The sequence below is a fragment of the Homo sapiens genome, chromosome 4, assembly GCF_000001405.40.
Source record: "Homo sapiens chromosome 4, GRCh38.p14 Primary Assembly".
In the NCBI taxonomy this organism is placed as follows: domain Eukaryota; kingdom Metazoa; phylum Chordata; class Mammalia; order Primates; family Hominidae; genus Homo; species Homo sapiens.
Window position 1 is genome coordinate 26,264,004 of NC_000004.12, and position 22,490 is coordinate 26,286,493.

Sequence of the window (22,490 nt, forward strand, 5' to 3'; positions counted from 1 at the left end):
AGCTGGGACTACAGACGTGTGCCACCACGTCCTGCTAATCTTTGTGTTTTTTTAGTAGAGACGGGGTTTCACTATGTTGGCCAGGCTGCAGGCTGGTCTTGAACTCTCGACTCAGGTGATCCACCCAACTCAACCTCCCAAAGTGCTGGGATTACAGGCGTGAGCCACGGCGCCTGGCAGACAGATTCATTTGTGTTCACAACCTGGTCCCAATTAGCTTCAACAAATTATGTGTTGAATTAATCAATGAATACTTATTAATTCAAATCAATGAATACTTATTAATTCAGATCTTAGTAATTAATTATTATTAATACTTATTAATTCATTAATCAATGAATACTTTTTAATTCAGCATATGTAGTCTGGAGCACTATGACAGCCTTCTGACTAACCTCCCTATCTCTCTTCTTTGCCTCCTACATATTGTAGCCATAGTGATCTTCGTAAACTGTCCATTTGATCCTTCCATTTTCTTTAAAATGGAGTTTCTTTCAAATTCTTCAATGGTCCTTTGTTGCCCTCACAATTTCTTATCTTGCCATGTAATTCCCTCCTGTTCATCTTTCCAGCCTTACTTCTCACCATATAGGCACATACACTCACACACACTTGCTGTCTTCCTCTCTTCCCCATCTAGCCACACTGAAACACTGGCACTCGTCCCAAAAGCACCATGCCCTTGACCTGGCTAACTGCTCATTGCTTTGAGTCTCAGCTTAGTTGTCACTTTCTTGGCCCCTCAAGATGACGTTGGTGCCCCTGCACTGTGCTCCCATAACCCTCTGCCTACCGTAGCAGGCATTTTATGGTTTGCCTTAAGTTATTGTAGAGGCAAAGAAAATTTCCTTCTCCTTTTGAAGGTTCAAGTCTCCTAAACAAACTGACAATAGACAGATTAATAGGAGAAAAGGCATACACATTTATTAATGTGCACATCACACAGGAGTCCTGCAAATATGAGACTCAAAGAAAGGACAGATGGTTGAAGTATTTATACCCTATTCATAGGGAAGAGAAAAATAGGGGTATAGGCAATTTTGAGGGGTAATAAATTATTTTCAGGTGAATTGAATGAGCCCAAAGAGCAGACAATAGTTTGTCAATAATTTTCTTTGGAAACTGAATGGGAAAAGTTACTAGAAGGTGAGGGGTGGAACTACACTGTGAACAAAGGTTGTCTTACCATGCATATAAAGTCTCTTAGATAATTTTTCCGAGCTGCCCTCTAAAGAGCGGATGAGGCTGGGCTTGGTGGCTCATGCCTACAATCCCAGCACTTTGGGAGGCTGAGGCCGGCCGATCATTTGAGGTCAGGAGATCGAGACCAGCCTGACCAACATGATGAAACCCTGTCTTTACTAAAAATACAAAAATTAGCCAGGCGTGGTAGTGGGCATCTGTAATCCCAGCTACTCGGGAGGCTGAGGCATGAGAATTGCCTGAACCCAGGAGGAAGAGATTTCAGTGGCTACTGCACTCCAGCCTGGGCCATAGAGTGAGACAGTCTCAAAAAAAGAAAAAAAAAAAAGAATAGATGAAAAGTCTATGTGGGCATGGTGATGACTTCTATTTCCTTTCATCTCTGGTAGTTAATCATTCCCGATTATTTGATGAGATTCCTAAGGAGAGAGTCTTAACACAATTCAATTTCTTTTGGAAGTTTTCCTCAATCAGATAAGGGAACTGCTAGAGAGAGCCCTTCTCTGTACTGGATGGGAAGGAAACAAAAGAAAGAAAGTTAAAAAGTTCTGGCCAGGCACGGTGGCTCACGCTTATAATCCCAGCACTTTGGGAGGCTGAGGTGGGTGGATCACGAGGTCAGGAGTTCAAGACCAGCCTGGCCAACATGGTGAAACCCCTTCTCTACTAAAAATACAAAAATTAGCCGGGCCTGGTGGCACATGCCTGTAGTCCCAGCTACTCAGGAGGCTGAGGCAGAGAACTGCCTAAAACTGGGAGGCAGAGGTTGCTTCACGATCGCACTACTTCACTCCAGCTCTGAGCAACAGAGCAAGACTGTATCTCAAAAAAAAAAAGGATCTTGGTTCCAAGGCAGTTTCTAAAGCCTTCCAATTTCCCTTAAATTCCATACTTTGGGGTATCTTTCTCTGTGCCCCAACAGTATCAGGTTCTTTTTCCCTGGCAGACTGTCCTGCCACATCCTATTCCCTGCAGTGCTCTAAACACTGGTTAGCACATAGTCTACATCCTGGAAAAGAGGCTTGTTGGATGTGTAGGGGAGAAAAAAAATATTTTCCTCACTCATCCAAAGGACAGATTAATAAGAAAAAAGCACACAGGCTTACTTAATTTATATTTTACATGACACGGGCATCTTCATAAGGAAATGAAGACCTGAAGAAATGGTTAAACTTGTGTATTTATTAATACATGCTAGGTTTGATGAATAAGTAGACTGTTATGGAGAAATAGGATTGCACAAAGGGTATAATCCAATGGTAATAAACTAGGGGAAACTTAGCAAGGCCTATTTGTTCAGATTCTTCTCTGTGGCCTTTTGTCTTATAAGATAAGGATGTTCTTTCCACTGGGTATAGGGAGGGCACTTCTTACATGGGGGTGTTATGACCTGCTTCAGGAGAAAGAAAAATTCCTCCTTGGTTTTTATGACGTGCTTTAGAAAAGAAAGGTGGGGAGTAGGGGTGAGGGTGAGTGATCTTCCTGCTGTTTTCTCAAATGTTAAGGCGCCATATTTGGGGGTAGCATGTCCTGAGCCCCATTAGGTGGATGGATGGATAGATAAATGACATTTAGGAGAGAGCTGGGTTCAAGAGCAGATATTACTGGTGGCATCTGCTAAGAAAACCTCAGTGCTAGAAACACCACAATTCCCAGGCAAAATTGTGTTAAAAGTTATTAGTGTTAGTTATGAAAAAGGCTTTCCAAATTTACTTCCATAATCTGAGTCTCTTGTCACCTTATTGCAAAAGCTCTATAGAGGTTCTTTTCTTCTCTTCTATAACATTAACTTCCAAAACACAGATAGCCTAAAAGCTTGCACTTTCTAGAGATGCAGATGATTGATAAGTTGTCTCCTCTTTATTTCAAGGTAAAGAAGAAGATGGGGTTACACAGAAGCCCAGTATTGACTTCGCCTCTTCTTCCTGGGGCTCAGTTGAGTTTGATGGATTTCAAAATTCAAGCTGTAAAATATGAGAGGACTTGATTTTCTCCAAGTCATATTTCCTTGTGTGTGCTCCAGAGTCTTAGAGTCTGGAGGGGGTGGGGCTTGGAGATGGGACAAGGCTTGACTACAGTCCAGCCTCCCAGAGTAAATGCAATTCAGCAGCCAGAATAACAGACTCCCAATTTAGGAATTTGCCATGGATGCTGCCCAAGGATCATTCCTGGGTTCCTCTGAGTATATTTGACTAACTGAAAGAGAAAAGCAACTTGTAGTCACATATAACAGTCAGGATTCTCTCATCACCAGAGCAAAAACAATAGATTTTTAAGTGTATCTTATTGCTGGAGGCAAAGAAATGAATTTAACGAGGTATTCACCTGGCAGGAAACTTCACAATTTGTGTGTATATATGTGTATAAATACACATATATACATATATATGTAATTTTTAAATTTATTTATTTATTTATTTTTTGAGATGGAGTCTCTGTCACCCAGGCTGGAGTACAGTGGCACGATCTCGGCTCACTGCACCCTCCACCTCCCAGGTTCAAGCAATTCTCCTGCCCCAACCTCTTGAGTAGCTGGGACTACAGGCACGCACCACCACACCTGGCTAATTTTTGTATTTGTAGTAGAGATGGGGTTTCACCATGTTAGCCAGGCTAGTCTTGAACTCCTGACCTCAGGTGATCCGCCCACCTCAGCCTCCCAAAGTGTTGGGATTACAGGCGTGAGCCACGGCACCCGACCCACAATTTCAATATAAGAGTAACAGCTATGTGCCGAAGTCATAAAAAAAAAGATATTCCAACTTAATTTATCTGCCCAATTACATCTAGTATTACTATAAAAATAAAAATGATTTTTTTTAAGGTATAAGCTTTTAAACCAATACTTCTATTTCAAAAATTTTAGCAAATCTAAATTTCCTAACAATTAGTCGTGTAGGATCTGTAAGTTGTTTTGATTTCTATATGAAGGGAAGAAGAAAAAGGACACCCCATGTTACGATTTAGCTTAAACTTCCCTCTTTGCTTTATATTCAACCAAGTCAGAAAACCATGTTCTTTGTTTGCCTCATTCCTTTATTTTTTTTCAAAAAAAACAAAAAACAAACAACAAAAACCAAGTGTCCTCTTTTTCTGTGTACGGTTCTGGTCCAAAGTAATCAGTATTGGAAATTGGGCTGTTTTTGCTTCATTTCTGGGGCCTGAGTCCTTCTCTCCAATACCAGGATGCCCTTAGGGAAGATACAGGGGAAATGATGTCATTCTCTTTGGTCTCTTTTCAGGCTTTGGGCTTTTTCTTCAGGCCCAACCCTTAATGAACCTGCTTTCTAATTAGCCAGCCAGGAGTACAGTGAAATGAAATGTGCATCTTCTGCTTCCCTTTTCTCTTCAATAAAAGCACACGCATTATTTGCTCCTTCAGCCAACTCAGGTGATTTCACCAGAATGTGTGCATAAATCTTCTCAGCATCATTGTCAAACAGCTGGAAGCAAACCTTTTTTTTTTTCCTCTCTCACAACTTGGAAACTAAAAAATAGAAACTGCCTTGTCTAAGGTCAAGCCTGGCTGAGGGGGGAGGGGCAGCTGCAGCAGAGGCGGGAGGAAGGGGTTCAGGTGAATATTCATCCCCCAAGTCCACTTCATCATTCACTGAGTGATGCCCTTTCTATGAAATTAGGCAAAACAAAAATCTAAATTTAGAAAATCTGTTAGAACAAATTTCATATGTTAACTTGATAAATGTATGTTTACTCCCTGGATATTTGGAATACTCTATGATTTCATAATGAACACTTTGAATTAATTTTGCTCTTTTTCTCTAATATTCGGCTTCTTTGGCTGTTCTCCTGATACACTGGCAACTGGCAAATGCATGTGCTTTAGTTTGGTGGGGATTGGAACTGAGATTGGTCACTGAGCCCCACTTCAGCTAGCTGGAAAACAGTGCTGTTGAAAGCACTTTCTCCAATTCCCTTCCCTCTGAGCCCATCACTCATTCAGGCAGCTGCTGCCCAGGCCCTCTCCTTGGCTATTATTTTATTTTATTTATTTATTTATTTAATTTATTTTTTATTATTTATTTATTTATTTATTTATTTATTTTTTTGACACAGGGTCTCGCTCCATCGTCCAGGCTAGAATACAGTGGCGGGATCTAGGCTCACTGCAACCTCTGCCTCCTGGGTTCAAGTGATTCTCCTGCCTCAGCCTCCCGAGTAGCTGATATTACAGGCATGCACCACCATGCCCAACTAATTTTTGTATTTTTAGTAGAGACAGGGTTTCACCATGTTGGCCAGGCTGGTCTCGATCTCCTGACCTCAAATGATCGGCCAGCCTCGGCCTCCCAAAGTGCTGGGATTAAAGGTGTGAGCCACCTCGCCAGGCGTCACCTTGGTTATTTTAATGTGTGGCTCTCCCTGCTGAAATGATCTGTTTTATCTACCTGCCTCCCCCACCGGACTTCACCTGCTCAAAGACAGGGACTCTGTCTCAATTCATTCTTACAGCCTCAGCCCTTTAAGCTTTAGTGGAAGCTCATTAAATGGCTTCTTGAACTAAAACTAAGGAAAAGGAGGAAGCGGTGAGCGGGTATGGGCAGAATAATTTGAGGGAAGGGAGTGAAGGGGGAGGGAGAGGGGTAGAATGACAGAGAAAAGAGTCAAAACTGGCAACCCAAATTACTTTGAGGCCAAACTAGCATTTATTTTTAGAAAGGACCCAGGCCTCAGTAAAAAGCAACACACTTAGGAAAGAGTTAATGAAACATTGTGGAAGAATCTGGCTTATAGGGTAAACTGGTGTTCCTCGCCATGGGAAATTGCTGGTATGGGGCCAGGCACGGCGGCTCAGACCTGTAATCTCAGCACTTTGGGAGGCTGAGGCAGGCGGATCACCTGAGGTAAGGAGTTCAAGACCAGTCCGGGCAACATGGCAAAACCTCACCTCTACTAACAATACAAAGCTTACCCAGGTGTGGTGGCAGTCACCTGTAATTCCAGCTACTTGGGAGGCTGAGGCAAGAGAATCGCTTGACCAGGGAGGCAGAGGTTGCAGTGAGCCAAGAAATCGTACCACTGCTCTCCAGCCTGGGCAACAGAGCAAGATTTTGTCGGAAAGGAAAGGGAAGGGAAGGGGAGGGGAGGAGGGGAGGGGAGGAGAGGGGAGGGGAGGGAGGGAGAGAGCAAGAGAAAGAAAGAAAGAAAGAAAGAAAGAAAGAAAGAAAGAAAGAAAGAAAGAAAGAAAGAAAGAAAGAAAGAAAGAAAGAAAGAAGAAAGAAAGAAAGAAAGAAAAGAAAAGGAAAGAAAGATGAAAGGAGGGAGGAAGGAAGGAAGGAAGGAAGGAGAAATCGGTAGTACACTGGTTACAATGCCAACTCCTGTCTCCACCCTGGACAACTGACTCAGAATCTTTGGGGTTGGGAACCTCCAAAAGTTTTTATTAAGTATCGCAGGCACTAGAGCTTGAAAACCATCCATGTAGTCCTTCCTAGGTGTACTTCATCCCCCTTGATCTACCCAGGTCCAGTTAGCATGGAGGGTTTTTTGGAAGGGGAGGGAGAACTTTCCCTCTACCCTCTGAAGGTTTGATAATTGAGTCTATGATGTAAACTGACAGTAGACAGCTTGACAAGAGACAAGATATACAAATTTATTACATGCACAGGGGTGTCACATGAAAGAAACATGAATAAAATCCGCCTCCCCCCCACCCTTATCCACAGTTTTGCTTTCCTCTGTCTCAGTCACCCACGGTCAACCATGGTTCGAAAATAGGTGAGTACAGTACAATAAGACATTTTGAGGAGAAAAAAACCATATTCATACAACTTTTATACAGTATATTATTCTAATTATTCTATTTTGTTATTAATTATTGTTAAATCTCTTTCTGTGCCTAATTTATTTTTTAAATTTGCTTTAGAGATGGGGTCTCACTATGTTTCCCAGGCTGGTCTCAAACTCCCAGGCTCAAGCTCTCCTCCTGGCCCAGCCTCCCAAGTAGCTGGAACTACAGATGCATGCCACCTTGCCCAGCCTAATTTATAAATTAAACTTTATCATAGGTATGCATGTATAGGAAACATCAGACTATAAGGTTTGGTGCCATCTTTGATTTCAGGCATCCACTGGAGGGCTTGAGACTTATCACCCATAGATAAGGAGGGGACTACTGTACCTCAAAACCTGGTGGATCTAGAGTCTTATATTCCCTCTTCATAAAGGAGAGGGGAGGGGAGATGTAGGTAACTCAGGAGAGATTGATTTGGGGGAAAGATGAACAGGACCTCAGAAGAATAGGTGACAGCCTGTGGCAAAGTCTGTCTGGCTATGGTGTCGAACTCCAGTCTCCTCTCCTGTGATCCCAGTTAATCTTCTCTGCTTGATGAAATTCCCCAGGAGGGGATTCATGACAACTGAGTTCTTTTTAGAGGATCCATCAGTAGGCAGATAGGGAGTTCTGAGAAAGCCTCTGCCTGCATATGCTATGTCCCAGGTGTCCTCAGTTCAAAGTAATCAGCATACCAAAGTGTCATTTTGGGGATGATATTTCCTGAATTCCTTTATCTTCATCTAAGACCTCGCCTTCTATGTGAAAGCCAGATTTATCAACTTTGAAAGACCCATGAGTCTTCAACATACAAACTATGATGTCCTTTCATTCATTCTGCACAGTGTCACTGCCACACACACACGTGCATGCACACGTGTGAGCAACCACATACAGAGACACGTGCGTGCTTGAACATGTGCACAGTGGGCACAGGTATATAGGCACATGGGTGCATACATGCTTGTACCAGCTTCCAGATTTCTGTAGGGCCAGTGCCTTGGGTCACTTGCTTTGTCTCTTAAAAATGTCTCCTGACTAGGGCAGCCTTAACCAGGACTGGGTTGGGAATATTAGGTATAAGAATCAATAGGGAAAAAAGCTTTTAGGGCAAAAATGCTTTGGATAAAATTCCAAAGGTTTAAATTTCACACCTTTGACAGAAGTCAAAGGTCTAGATAAAACCTAGATATATGCAGGAAAGAAAAAGATCTTCTAGATAAAACTGAGATATTTGCAAGAAAGAAAAAATGAAGACGTCATTTTTATTTTCTAAAACTCACTACAGGCCGGGCATTGTGGCTCACACCCATAAGCCCAACATTTGGGAGATCAAGGCAAGAGGATCACTTTAGGCTGGGAGTTGGAGACCAGCCTGGGCAATGTAGTGAGACTCCATCTGTACAAAAAAAATTTTTTTTTAATTAGTCAGGTGTGGTGACACATGCCTGTAGTCCCAGCTACTTGGGAGGCTGAAGTGGGAGGATCACTTGAGACCAGAAGTTCAAGGCTGCAATGAGCTGTGATCATGCCACTTCACTCCAGCCTGGGTGACAGAGCAAGACCCTGTCTATCTCTACAATAAATAAAATAAATAAAAAATAAATAAAAAACAAAACTACAGATTTGGTTGCAGATGAACTTGCATTTTGTCTTCATTTTTTCCAAAGTGATTCATTCTTCCTGGTTCTTGAACACCTGCTTAAAAATAGGGCTTACTTTTCTCTGTCCTTGGGGTGCACCAACCATATTTGAAACCATGAGGTAGGTCTAACACCAGGAAGGGGGTGATGGGATGGAGGAAAGTCCTATTGGATCTGCATAATGTACTCATTGTTTAAAACCATACATTGCGCAGAAAGCTGTGGTTAGATTTGTGGTGTGAAACAGGGAACTCTGCAACTCTCAAGCAAGAGTTTCCATGCCTAAGGTGAATGTTTACATTACAGACGCTGGAATCCCTGTTAATACCTTAGGTGCTTTTTTTTCATGAAGACTGTATTAAGTTTGAGATTTTCTTTCACTCCAAGTTTTTCAAAACAACAGACCATAAAAAGGAAGTTTCAACCAACAAAATTGACTTGAAATAAAAATTGGCCTGTGTGTCCCAAGTTTACTCATTTGCAGGACTACCTTTTGCTGTCTCCCACTTCCCTTCCTCTCATTGCCTCAGCCTCTTTTTTAAGTTCCTAGTCAGTTAAGGCACATTTCCTGATTTGGCAAACACCACCCCTCCACCTCCTTTTTCTTGGGTAAAACTTCCTGAGCTGACATTAAAGAGAACTGTTACCTCACCCGAGAGCTTTAGGAGGAAAATGGCATTTAGGTTTTATTACATAAAGCCCCACAGTAGTTACCACTTTATAAAATTCAAATGACTTTTTTCCAAGCTCCCAGTTTTCCAAAGCTGTCTGCCTGGCGACCTCCCAGAGGGCGAGATGCCTCCGAGGGAGCGTGGAGCGGGCCTCCCGGCCTTGGCAGGCAGCTAGGATGAAGATCTTTCCAGCTCTAGCTGCCTGGAAGGAAACTGGCAGCAGAGAGCAGTATCTATGTCCGAGGCCATTCTGGAATCTAAGAGGAGGGCACAGATTCCAATGGCTCAGGGAAGAACCACTCTGTATCCCACTTGCACCTAGGGGTACTAATCTTTCTGCAGAAGAACCTAGCAGCGGGGCCTGGGAGCTCTTTTCACTCAACTGCCTCCCTCCCCTCCTCCACTTTCAGGAAGAAGTGGGGAAGTGGGAGGTCTGTTTGCATCACTGGTAACCACAGCCATTCCCGGTGCCCCTTGCCGCCACCCTTCCAGTGCTTGGTATGCCAACGGTTCTTCCCTCTTCTTCTTTGAAGCTGAACGCAGCCAAGACACAGTCATCGCCATTTGCATCTTCCTGGGAATCCGATTAGGCCCGGCTTTACTTCTCCTGGAGGTGTCTGTGTCTTCTCTGGTGTAGAGGAAAAAAAGTTTGTTCTTCTTCCATTCCCCTGCTGCCTATGGGTCTTTGCTCAGATGTCACCTTGTCAGAGAAGTCTTTCCCAACCACAGGTGTGGCCTCAACCCCAGATATATGCTTTTCTACTTCTCTGCTTTATTGTTCTCCATAACACTTCTCACCTCCTAAAATACTTTGTACATGTGTTATATTTTACTGCTTCATTTGATTTTCTGCCTATCTTCTGCCATCTGCCCCATGCTCACACCCACACCCTGCATCCCGAGCACCCACAACAGTGCCACATACATAGTAGGCGCTCGATAAGTATTTGTTAAATAATGAATGGATTTGAGACTTTCTGAAACCCTAAGGAAGATAAGAGAAGGTATGATTTTTGATTAAGAAAAATGTTTCTGGCCAGACACGGTGGCTCACCCTTGTAATCACAGCAGTCCAAGAGGCTGAGGCAGGAGGACTGCGTGATCCCAGGAGTTCAAGACCAGCATGGGCAACACGGCAAAACCCTGTCTCTACATAAATTTTTTTAAAAATTAGCCTGGCACAGTGGCATGTGCCTATGTTCTCAGCTACTCAGGAGGCTGAATGGGAGGATCCCTTGAGCCCAGAAGTTTGAGGTGGCAGTGAGCTGTGGTCATGCCACCGCATTCCAGCCTGGGTGATAGAGCGAGCGAGACCCTGTCTCTCAAAAAAAAAGAAGAAGAAGGCTGGGCACAGTGGCTCACACCTGTAATCCCAGCTCTTCGGGAGGCTGAGGCTGGTGGATCACATGAGACCAGGAGTTCAAGACCAGCCTGCTCAACATGGCAAAACCTCGTCTATCGAAAACACAAAAATTAGCCAGGGGTGGTGGTGCACATTTGTGATCCCAGCTATTCGGAAGGCTAAAGCAGGAGAATTGCTTGAACCCAGGAGGCGGAGGTTGCAGTGAGCTGAGATCACGCCATTGCATGATCCTAGCCTGGGTGACAGAGCGAGACACCGTCTCAAAAAAACAAAAAAAGAAAAGAAAAGAAAAAAGAAAGGAAAGGAAAAAAGTTTCTAAAGTACCAGGGCTAGAGGAAGGGATTAGAAGCCATAAAGGAAGATAGCATTCATGGGATAGGGAGATGGCCACATTGTCAACTAATATTTGTAATAGACTAGTGAGATGTCATCGTCCCTATTTCATAAATGAAGCAACTGAGGCACAGAGCATTTGCATAACTTACCCAAGGTCACACAGAGGGAAAGTGAGAGACGGCATCAAGGTGTGGAACCGTGCTCTTTTCACTGCTGTCCCCTGACTTCTGCTTAGACCAAAGCCTGGTAATTTGACATCCTCAGCAGAATCAGATGCATAAGCCCCAGATTCAAATCGCAGCTCTGCCACTTGCTGGCAGGGTGACTCTAGGCAAGGTTCTGGGCTCCTATGGGTAACTGTTTTCCTAGGAAGATAATGAAAAGGGAGGACCTAGCATGCTATGAGTCTACTTATGCCTCCCAACAGGCCAGTGGGGCAGGAAGGGAACAAGTATTACTAACACCGGAAAAAGAAATTAAAACCCAGGGGGACTATGTGACTCGGGTGTGGCTAAGCAACATGTCAAGTCAGTCGCCGGAGAAAAACCATCCAGGAAAGAGGTATCTTGACATAACACAACTGTCAACTTCTCTCCAAATCATAGGTTTTTTGTTTTGTTTTGTTTTGTTTTGTTTTTTGAGACGGAGTCTCGTACTGTTGCCAGGCTGGAGTGCAGTAGCGCGATCTCGGCTCACTGCAACCTCCGCCTCTTGGGTTCAAGCGATTTTCCTGCCTCAGCCTTGCGAGTAGCTGGGACTACAGGCGTGCACCACCACACCCAGCTACTTTTTTGTATTTTTAGTAGAGACGGGGTTTCACCATCTTGGCCGGGATGGTCTGGATCTCTTGACCTCTCTGCCCACCTCGGCCTCCCAAAGTGCTGGGATTACAGGCGTGAGCCACCGCAACCGGCCCAAATCATAGTTTTTATGGCTGAAAAAGGATACTTAGTGACATGCTAACAGCTTTAAAGCTATTGTAGGCTGGGCGTGGTGGCTCACGCCTGTAATCCCAGCACTTTGGGAGGCCTAGGTGGGTGGATCACTTCAGGTCAGGAGTTTGAGACCAGCCTGGCCAACATGGTGAAACCGCATCTCTACTAAAAATACAAAAATTAGCCGAGCATGGTGGCACATGCCTGTAGTCCCAGCTACTTGGGAGGCTGAGGCAGGAGAATCACTTGAACCCAGGAGGCGGAGGCTGCAGTGGGCCAAGATTGTGCATGCAATCCAGCTTGGGTGACAGAGCAAGACTCCATCTCAAAAAAAAAAAAAAAAGAAAAAGAAAACATAAAATAAATACATAAAGCTGTTGTAAATTTTAAGTTTCTACTTTTAAGGTCTCTGATTTTAAAAACACTTCCCTATGGTAACTAAAACAAAGCTTCAGAAATTGTGGATGTTAGATGAGATCTGGGTTTTTGCTTGGGCAAGGCTTGGTGGTTGTGACGTTGCATGCTACATGTCCCAATGAAATCGCCTCCTTGAAAAAAACACAATCCACAGAAATCTATTGAAATGCAATCTATGGAAAATCTAACATGGCCTTGGGCCTCAGGCTTGTTCTTCCATTGCTGTCAACACAGTGAAATTCTGTCCCTGTTGATTACTCTTCTGTTTCCATGGGCTTGCTGATTAAATGCTATATGTATAACACTTTGAATCATTTAAATGAGAAAGAAAAAAAATCCTTCTCTTTTCTTCACCATGACATTAGAGCTACAGGAGTGACTGTCTGATATTAACTGAGCACATACTATGTTAAGAAAGCAACCTTAAATAAGCAAACTCAAATTGTATCTTTGAAGAAATTCTTCTTTCTGTCTGTTTCCTTTGTAGCAAGGGCGGAGTCAAAAACTGCCTTTCTTCTTCAACCTGTGAAATCAGATTTAAATGTATTTATGTATTTATTCTGGCTAGATGATATTCTCTTTGCTGGCACGGAATAAACTAGTCATAGAATTTTCTGTAAGTGAAAAACCTGGCTGGGTGCAGGAGAATCACGCTCGCCTATAATCCCAGAGCTTTTTGAAGCTGAGGTGGGAGGATTGCTTGAGGCCAGGAGTGGGGACCAGCCTGGGCAACATAGTGAGACCCCATTTCTAAAAAAAAAAAAAAAAATTTAAATTAGCCAGGCATGCTGGTATGAAGACTTAGAAGGCTGAAGCAGGAAGATGCTTGAGCCCACGAGTTCAAGGCTTCAGTGAGCTGTGATCACACCACTGCATTTCAGCCTGGGCGACAGAGCAAGACCCTGTTTGTTCAAAAAAAAAAAAAAAGTCAAAAGTCAAAAAAGCTGAACTTGAAAAAATTTGGTTCTGATCCCTCTCTGTAATGCTAGCACTCATGAAAAATTCAGCATTTGTGGAATTCCTTAGTTTATGATTTAGGAATCTCCACCTGGCTCCTCACCCCCACCAGATACAAGCCTCTCTCTTCTCTTGGGACCAGGACGAGGCTGCAAGCCTGAGCGCCACAGGGCTGGGTTCTTCAATGCATGGCCTTGGTGAGTTATCCTGGGGAGTTTTGTAGGGAAAGTGCCAACCCGGCCAAGCTATAGGTGCCCAGGAAAGCCCTGATTTGTGAGTGGATGGTGTGTTGGACACACAATCTCGAAGGAGTGGCAGGGGCCTATTCATTTCCTTTGCAGGATTTAAAACTAAGATGGCAGTGATGGAGGAACAGATGGCAAGTGTTAGTCAGAGGGAGAGACTTAGTATGCTCATATGGGCTCAAATTTTTTCATGAGAGAAATGCTCTCCTGACCCTCTCTAGCCCCAAAAGTCCAGAGGAAGAATTTTGCAAGCATGATTAGTGTTTTTAAATGTATTACTCTCTCCCATAGGTTTCTATCGGGCTTTAAAATATTCGATTCAGTGTCCATCTAATCTTTACAAGTTATTTTCACATGTGTCAATCAATGCCTTTTTTCCAAGTTGCTGCTTATTCCTCATGTATATGTGTGTGTTTGTGTGTGTGTCTTGCCTTCTAAGCTAGCTCCTTTGCTGAATATTTATTGAGCACCTATTATGTGCCAAGGACAGTATATAGTAGTATGAACGCAAATGCCGTGGCATTGACATTCTGATTAGGAACTCTTCGCTGATTCTGCTCCTTTACCTTCTCTGTGCTGCCTTTGCTTCCCAGTTACTTTATAACATATACTTCATATTCATCTTCAATTTTTCATCTAAAGATAGGATGCTACATAACATTTTCAAAAAAGTAAAGTCACGTCTGTCATGAAGATATAAAGTGAACCTATGCCAAAGATTTTAATTTATTAATTTATGAGGGATCCAGAAAAAATGTTAAAACCAATTCAAAGGACAATTTGAAAAACAGATATATATGTAGGCAATCTGGAATGTTGCAATGAATTTACTAATAGGTACAAAATTGGCTGATATCTGATAGAAAAAATATGTAGTGTTTTGGGTCATTTACTGGGTAGAAATCAATTGCATTACTATCAGATAAAATTGATGTGCATATTCAAAACAAGAATCATTTGAATAACTATGGACAGGACACATCTGCATTGCTATCGGTTTTCTACAACTTAACTTCTACACCTATAGGATTATGAAATAGACTAATCAATCCAAGATAATCAAAAGTTTCTATTCCTATAGAAGCAGATAATTCCCAGACTATCTCCTAAGACACTCAGGGACTCTACTGAAATAACACTCAAAAATCTCTTTTGCCCCTTTACAAGTCTTTATAATTTTCCTGACAGGGGCTTTACAAGGAGAAAATTAAGCTCAACTCTTGTCAGTTTCTAGCAGATTTGAAGTAACAATGATTAGTCCGTTTTAAAAATAGCTTTTGGTGGGAGTTCCACTTACATGATATCTGGCAGGCATCAGGAAGTTTGGCTATGGGATGGATATATAAGGTTCTAAGGAGGCCACAGTGCCTGGTGGCTAAGGGTGCTGCCGTGGGAGCAGGGTGGTTGTGCTCCTGTATGATCTTAGCTTTCTCTGCACAATTTCCTCCTTTCTAAAGTGGAGAAAATAACAGTAGCTATTTCATAGGATCATGTTGAGAACTAAATAAGATAATACACATGAAGCACCCAGCACAGTGCCTGGCCCACAGTATGTACTCAATAAATGTTAACTATTTGTTTGAAGAAAATGTCTGTTACAGGTGGTAGTTTCAAATGAATACCAGTAAATTCAATCCAGTTGGGCAGAAGAGAGGATGATGCTGTGAGCCTAGCCACTTATAGAAAAGGGCAAGTTTTGCTGCACTGGCTGCTGTTTGATATTTTCTTTTTTTTGGAGACAGAGTCTTGCTCTGTCACCACGCTGGAGTGCAGTGGCACAATCTCAGCTCACTGCAACCTCCGCCTCCCAGGTTCAAGCAATTCTCCTGTCTCAGCCCCCCGAGTAGTTGGGACTACAAGCGTGCCCCACCACGCCCAGCTAATTTTTGTATTTTTAGAGACGGGCTTTCATCATGTTGGCCACGATGGTCTCAATCTCTTGACCTCGTGATCCACCCGCCTCGGCCTCCCAAAGCGTTGGGATTAAAGGCGTGAGCCACCACGCCCGGCCTGTTTGATATTTTCAATGTTTACACAAATTCCCGTGGTTGCTTACATTTGCTTTTAATGTAGGATGATTCTAAGACCAGTCCAGACAAGCGGTGACGAATTTCAGTAAAACTTCCTAAGAAGATGGCAGGTTTTTGCATGCCACAATTAAAACTTCTCATTTCAGGCAGAGGGAGGTAAAAAGGTTTTTGTGAGTGAAGTTGAAATTGTCTTTTTTTTTTTTTTTTTTTTGAAACAAGGTCTTGTTTTGTCGCCCAGGCTGGAGTGCAGTGTCTCGAACAAGGCTCACTGCAGCCTCGACTTCTTGGGCTCAACCAATCCTCCCATCTCAGCCTCCCAAGTAGCTGGGACCACAGGTGCATACCATGACAACTGGCTAATTTTTGTAATTTTTGCAGAGACAGGTTTTGCCACATTGCCCAGGCTGATCTGCAACTCCTGATCTTAAGAAATCCACCCACTTTGGCCTCCCAAAGTGCTGGGATTACAGGCATGAGCCACCGTGCCCGACCAAAATTGTCTTTTAAGAGAGAGCCTTGGCCGGGCACGGTAGCTCACTCCTGTAATCCCTGCACTTTGGGAGGCCGAGGTGGATGGATCACTTGAGGTCAGGAGTTGCAGACCAGCCTGGCTAACACGGCGAAACCCCAACTCTACTAAAAATACAGAAAATTAGTCAGGTATGGTGGCAGGTGCCTGTAATCCCAGCTACTCAGGAGGCTGAGGCGGGAGAATTGCTTTAACCCAGGAGGCAGAGGTTGCAGTGAGCCGAGATGACAACATTGCACTCCAGCCTGGGTGACAGAGCAACACTTCATCTCAAAAAAAAAAAAAAAAAAAAAGAGAGAGAGAGCCCCATTCCATCCCTGGACAATGGTGCTTGTTCCAGCCAGTTAATTTTCTGTGCCTCAGATAACTTAAGGAGACCATACTTTTTAAACTGTTCTATGAAAATGCCTTAGGAGCTTTGCAAACATTTTATTCAAATTTCAATTTTAACTATTTACAAATTTATTATTAAAAGCAAATGGCTTGGAATAATGAAAAAGTTCTGGAAATAGACAAGAGTGATGGTTGCACCTTGTGAATGCACTTAATGCCCTTGAATTGTACACTGAAGCATGGTTAAAATGGCAAATTTTATGTTATAAATATTTTACCACAACATAAAAAAAATTTAAAGCAAATACAGCTGCATTAAAATGTACTACATTTTAATAAATTGGAGACTTCCCATGTGCTATCCAGTTTATGCAGACTTCTGGATAAAACTTTTTTTTTCATGTTTGTTTACTTGAAGAATATTTTGAAATTGAAAGGTAACTCTTTAAAAACTGCTACCATTTGCAACTATATTTCTATCCAAATAAGAATTTTCTTATATATTGAGTAACCAAAACGAAATACAGAAACAAATCAGATGATGAGGCTCTAACTGTTTTCCATTGGGTTCAATTTGTAAACATTTGTGTTAAACAAAAACAGCCTGTTTGAATGACATTATAAGGAGTTGTCTTAATTTTACCATATAAAAACAATTTATACTAAAAATCTCATTTTACTCATTTTTTATTTATTTTTATGAAGAAAGGAGGTTTAATTGACTCACAGTTCCGCAGGCTTAATGGGTAGTATCTAAAAATCTTATTTAAATTTGTTGTATTTTAGGATACTGTTTGAGAATCCCTCTGCAGTTTTTTTGTTTGTTTGTTTGTTTTTTTGAGGCGGAGTTTCGCTCTTGTTGCCCAGGCTGGAGTGCAATGGCGTAAACTCGGCTCACTGCAACCTCCACCTCCTGGGTTCAAGCAATTCTCCTGCCTCAGCCTCCCTAGTAGCTGGGATTACAGGCACCCACCACCACACCCAGCTAATTTTTTGTATTTTTAGTAGACATGGGGTTTCACTATGTTGGCCAGGCTGGTCTCGAACTCTTGACCTCAGGCGATCCACTCGCCTCAGCCTCCCAAAGTGCTGGGATTATAGGCATGAGCCACCATGCCCACCACTCTAAGATACGACCTTTAAAATTCTCTCTGACTTATTATTGTAATTATAAAATGTTTGGTGTTTGAAAAGATGTGTATTCTTTGCAGTCACTTTTAGTAGCCAATGAAAAAAATAATATAAGCAAAGCAAGCTGTGTATTAATCTTCAGAGTAGGCAAAGCAAAAAGGTGGAATTGTCCAGCAAGCCTTTCCCCCATTTACAATGAGCTACACGTAAATAATCACAGCCACTGGAGTTCTAATTCCTTGAAGATGTCTGGACAGAAGAGTTACGCTAATTTAACAGTTCTTAGTTTTAGTCTTACAAAGTTATTTCTTAAAACTCCTTTGTTCTAATATAACACTCCTATTCTATTTGAATTATAGAGCTCTCTCAAATAAAGTGCTTCATTCTTTCCAAATTATCTAGACCAGGGGCAACTTCCCCTGACAGATTTTCATGCAAACTTTATGTGTATTTGTGTATGTATGTGTTTATCTAGGAAGAGAGTCAGTTTCTCAAGGGATTCTACAAAATGTAAATAATTGCCTTCATTCGTAATCCTCTCTCTCTCTCTTTTTTTTTTTTTTTTTTTTGCTAATGTAAATCTTGCCTGTGAATCATCTAAAAAGGAATTTTGCTATTGATAGTAGGATCATGTCACCAAGCAAAATAAATCCTTGAAAAAAAAATGTCCATTTCTGGTGCATTTATTTTTTTTCTGGGATAAAGTGCCAACACCATGTCAAAATCCGCATGCTATTATGAGACTATTCTTGAATCTTAATTTCCAGTTTAGCATTAAATATGGGAACATGAAAATTAAAAAACAAAATTATCTGATAAAAAATAAACTGGTGCACCCACATAACAGTTGAATGACACATTTCATATTCGAATAAAGATCTAAGAAATTTAAATTACAACAAATCAAATGAGCTTCATGTATTTCTTTTTTTTTTCTTTTTGTTTTTTTTGAGATGGAGTTTCACTGTTGTTGCCCAGGCTGAAGTGCAATGGCGCGATCTCTGCTCACTGCAACCTCTACCTCCCGGGTTCAAGCAATTCTCCTGCCTCAGCCTCCTGAGTAACTGAGATTACAGGCGCATGCCACCACTCCTGGCTAATTTTTGTATTTTCAATACAGACGAGGTTTCTCCATGTTGGCCAGGCTTGTCTGTTACTCCTGACCTCAGGTGATCCACCCACCTTGGCCTCCCAAAGTGCTGGGATTACAGGCATGAGCCACCACACCTGGCGGAGCTTCATGTATTTCATAATAGCTTTATATTATATAATAATAAAAGGAAATACAGAGTTGAGTCCAGGAAAATACTGTCCCTTTGTGTTTTAAGTGTAGATTCTTTTTTTTTTTTTTTTTTTTTTTTGGGATGGAGTCTCGTTTTGTCACCCAGGCTGGAGTGCAGTGGCACAATCTCGGCTCACTGCAAGCTCCTCCTCCCGGGTTCACACCATTCTCCTGCCTCAGCCTCCCAAGTAGCTGGGATTACAGGCACCTGCCACCACGCCCAGCTAATTTTTTTATTTTTAGTAGAGACAGGGTTTCACCGTGTTAGCCAGGATGGTGTCGATCTCCTGACCTCGTAATCCACCCGCCTCGGCCTCCCAAAGTGCTGGGATTACAGGCAGGAGCCACCGCTCCCGGCCTCTTATTTTTAAATTAAAGATATAGGATTTTCTGGGCCAGGCGCAGTGGCTCACGCCTGTAATCCCAGCACTTTGGGAGGCCGAGGTGGGTGGATCACCTGAGGTCAGGAGTTCAAGGCCAGCCTGGCCAAGATGGCCAAACCCCGTCTCTACTAAGACTACAAAAATTAGCTGGTAGTGGTGGCAAGTGCCTGTAATCCTAGCTGCTCTGGAGGCTGAGGCAGAAGAATCACTTGAACCCGGGAGGCGGAGGTTGAAGTGAGCCGAGATGGCGCACCTGCACTCCAGCCTGGGCTATAGAAGGAGACTCTGTCTCAAAAAAATAAAATAAAATAAAATAAAGATATAGGATTTTCTAAAGCAAAAGGGGCCTGAGGCTACTGATTTTCTCTTCTTTCCTGCTGAATACATTTAACTAAACTTTTTTTTTTTTTTTGAGACGGTGTCTTGCTCTGTCGCACAGGCTGGAGTGCCATAGCATGATCTCAGCTCACTGCAACCTCCACCTCCCAGGTTCAAGCGATTCTCCTGCCTCAGCCTCCCGAGTAGCTAGGACTACAGGCATGTGTCACCATGCCTAGCTAATTTCGTACTTTTAGTAGAGACAGAGTTTCACAATGTTGGCCAGGATGGTCTCGATCTTTTGACCTCGTGATCCATCCGCCTCAGCCTCCCAAAGTGCTGGGATTACAGGCATGAGCCACCACGCCTGGCCTATTTAATACAATGATTTTTATGGTTTGGAAGGTGTCCAAAAGATTTAAGCTGGAGGCAAATGCTATTGGGTAGGTCAATAACCCCCAAGTTTCCATTTTCTTACAATATCCAAAATACACGATTAAATATGGTAGTGGTTATTGAAAGCACCTCTCAAGTTGCAAAATTCTTCTTAATAGTATTTATCTTATTGTTATATGTTATACTGCCTGACTACAAAATCTAAAAGTGAGAAATAAGCTGTGAAGAGAATAAAGGCTAGGAAATACAGGACTGCTGACTTTACACCCTATTTCATCTGAACATGCTCTAATGTATTTCCTTAACAGCTTCTTTGTTGCATTTTTAAAGGTTGTCTTCCACTTACTAACTCTCCCATAATTGAGATTCTTCAGCCTCCAACTTCATACTTAGTGAAAACAATTTTGGTTTTGCAATTATTATTGGTAAGAAACTGACATTACCAAGTTGAGTGTGTCTGCAAAGCATCTTTTCTGGTCCATATGAACTCTATTTTAATTTTTATTTTATTTTATTTTTTGAGACTGAGTCTCGCTCTGTCACTAAGGCTGGAGTGCTGTGGCGTGATCTCAGCTCACTGCAACCTCCACCTCCTGGATTCAAGCGATTCTCCTACCTCAGTCTCTCGAGTAGCTGGGATCACAGGCATGTGCCACCACGCCTGGCTAATTTTTCTATTTTTGGTGGAGATGGGGCTTCGCCATGTCGGCCAGGCTGGTCTCCAACTCCTGACCTCAAATTCGTCCACCTCAGCCTCCCAAAGTGCGGTGATTACAGGTGTGAGTCACTGTGCCCCCGGCTGAACTCTTTTTAAAGTCTTTTGTTTGAGATTAAAAACAACAACAACCAGTCTGTTGTGTGTCCTCCATCCCCAGAACAGGTTAAACTTAACTTTTTTTTTTTCTTTTGAAATGAAGTCTTACTCTGTCACCCAGGCTGGAGTGCAGTGGCACAATCTCAGCTCACTGCAACCTCCACCTCCCGGGTTCAAGTGATTTTCCTGCCTCAGCCTCCTGAGTAGCTGGGACTACAGGTGCCCACCACCACGCCTGGTTAATTTTTGTATTTTTAGTAGAGATGAGGTTTCACCATATTGGCCAGGCTGATCTCGAACTCCTGACCTTGTGATCCGCCCACCTCGGCCTCCCAAAGTGCTGGGATTACAGGTGTGAGCCACCACACCCGGCCAAACTTAACTTTTTATTCAAACATATATCTCAGTGTCCAGACTCCGGAAAGGCATTTCTGTATAGCAGGCCCAGTCTCAGATAAATATTCTAAACTTCCACCCCTCCGCCCCCACCCCCGCCACTTACCATGGTGATAACTGGGCCCCAGTGTTATGGAACTAGTAGCATCTGCCACCTCCATTCAGTTATCTATTAGGGCATAACAAGTTACCCCAAAACACAGCCGCTTCAAACAATAAACGCATATTATCTCTACCCCATTTCATTCCTGCCACCTCTAGTATAAGAACAACTATCTACATCCGGTGCTGGTAAAACCCCTACTGTCATTTCAAAGAGTCTCCTCCAAGATCTCTCTGCCTCAAAATTTTAATAAATGAATATTACAGTTTGAAAAAAATAGAATGTGAGAGAAGGGAGACAAAACATTGGTATCAATAGTGACTGCCATCAACTCTACACCTCACACCAAAACCCTTATGTAAAAATGGCATGTTACCTGCTTAATGATACTGATACGTTAAAAAAAAAAAAAAAAAAAAAAAAGTGGCACATTATCAAATGCATTCCAGACAAGTTTCCTGAAGCATCTTCCAACCAGAATGCAATCCTTTTAATTCAATCTTATGCAGAAATTCTCGAGCCATCCCTGTCTGAATATAAATTACTATGTGTATACCCAAAGACTAACAGCAAATTGTTGGATATATGAGTGAAATTACCCACTGAGAGAGTATTCAAAATTTTAGTCCAGACCAGCCTGGGCAACATAGGGAGACCCCATCGCTACAAAAAATTATTTTTAAAAATTAGCCGGGCTTAGTGGCGTATGCCTGTAGTCCTAGCTGCTCAGTACACTTGCTTGAGCCCAGGAATTCAAGGCTGCAGTGCGCTATGATCGTGCCGCTGCACTCCAGTCTGGGCGGCAGAGTGAAAGCTTAGGCTAAAAATCTTTAAAACATGTTTTCATCCTACCATATTAATTTGGAAGACTGGCTTTAAATATCACGTGGGACAGTAATTATAGAACATGTACTGTGGGCTGGGCATGATGACTAGCGCCTGTAATCCCAACATTTTTGGTGGCCAAAGCGGAAGGATCGCTTGAGCCCAGGAGTTTGAGAGCAGCCAGGGCAACACAGTGAGACCAGGTCTCTTTAAAAATAAAAAATTAGCCAGATGCGTGGTGGTGAGCACCTGTGGTCCCAGCTACTTAGGAGGCTGAAGGATCACATGAGCCAAAGAAATCAAGGCTCTCGTGAGCTGTGGTCGCACCACTGCACTCCAGCCTGTATGAAAAACCGAGACCCTGCCTCAAAAAAAAAAAAAAAAAAAAA

At 42.6% G+C, this 22,490-nt stretch overlaps 1 protein-coding gene and 1 long non-coding RNA gene across 3 annotated transcripts in view; one reads left to right on the forward strand and one right to left on the reverse strand.

The window, feature by feature from the left end:
- LOC124900690 (uncharacterized) overlaps positions 1–11,422 on the reverse strand; it is a 77,297-nt gene extending 65,875 nt beyond the window's left edge. The window contains exon 1 of the long non-coding RNA XR_007058094.1: positions 11,157–11,422. This is a non-coding gene — a long non-coding RNA (uncharacterized LOC124900690). The remainder of the gene's footprint in view (positions 1–11,156) is intronic.
- The window catches only part of RBPJ (recombination signal binding protein for immunoglobulin kappa J region), a 329,683-nt gene that overhangs the window by 158,555 nt on the left and 148,638 nt on the right, over positions 1–22,490 (forward strand). The window lies entirely within an intron of this gene.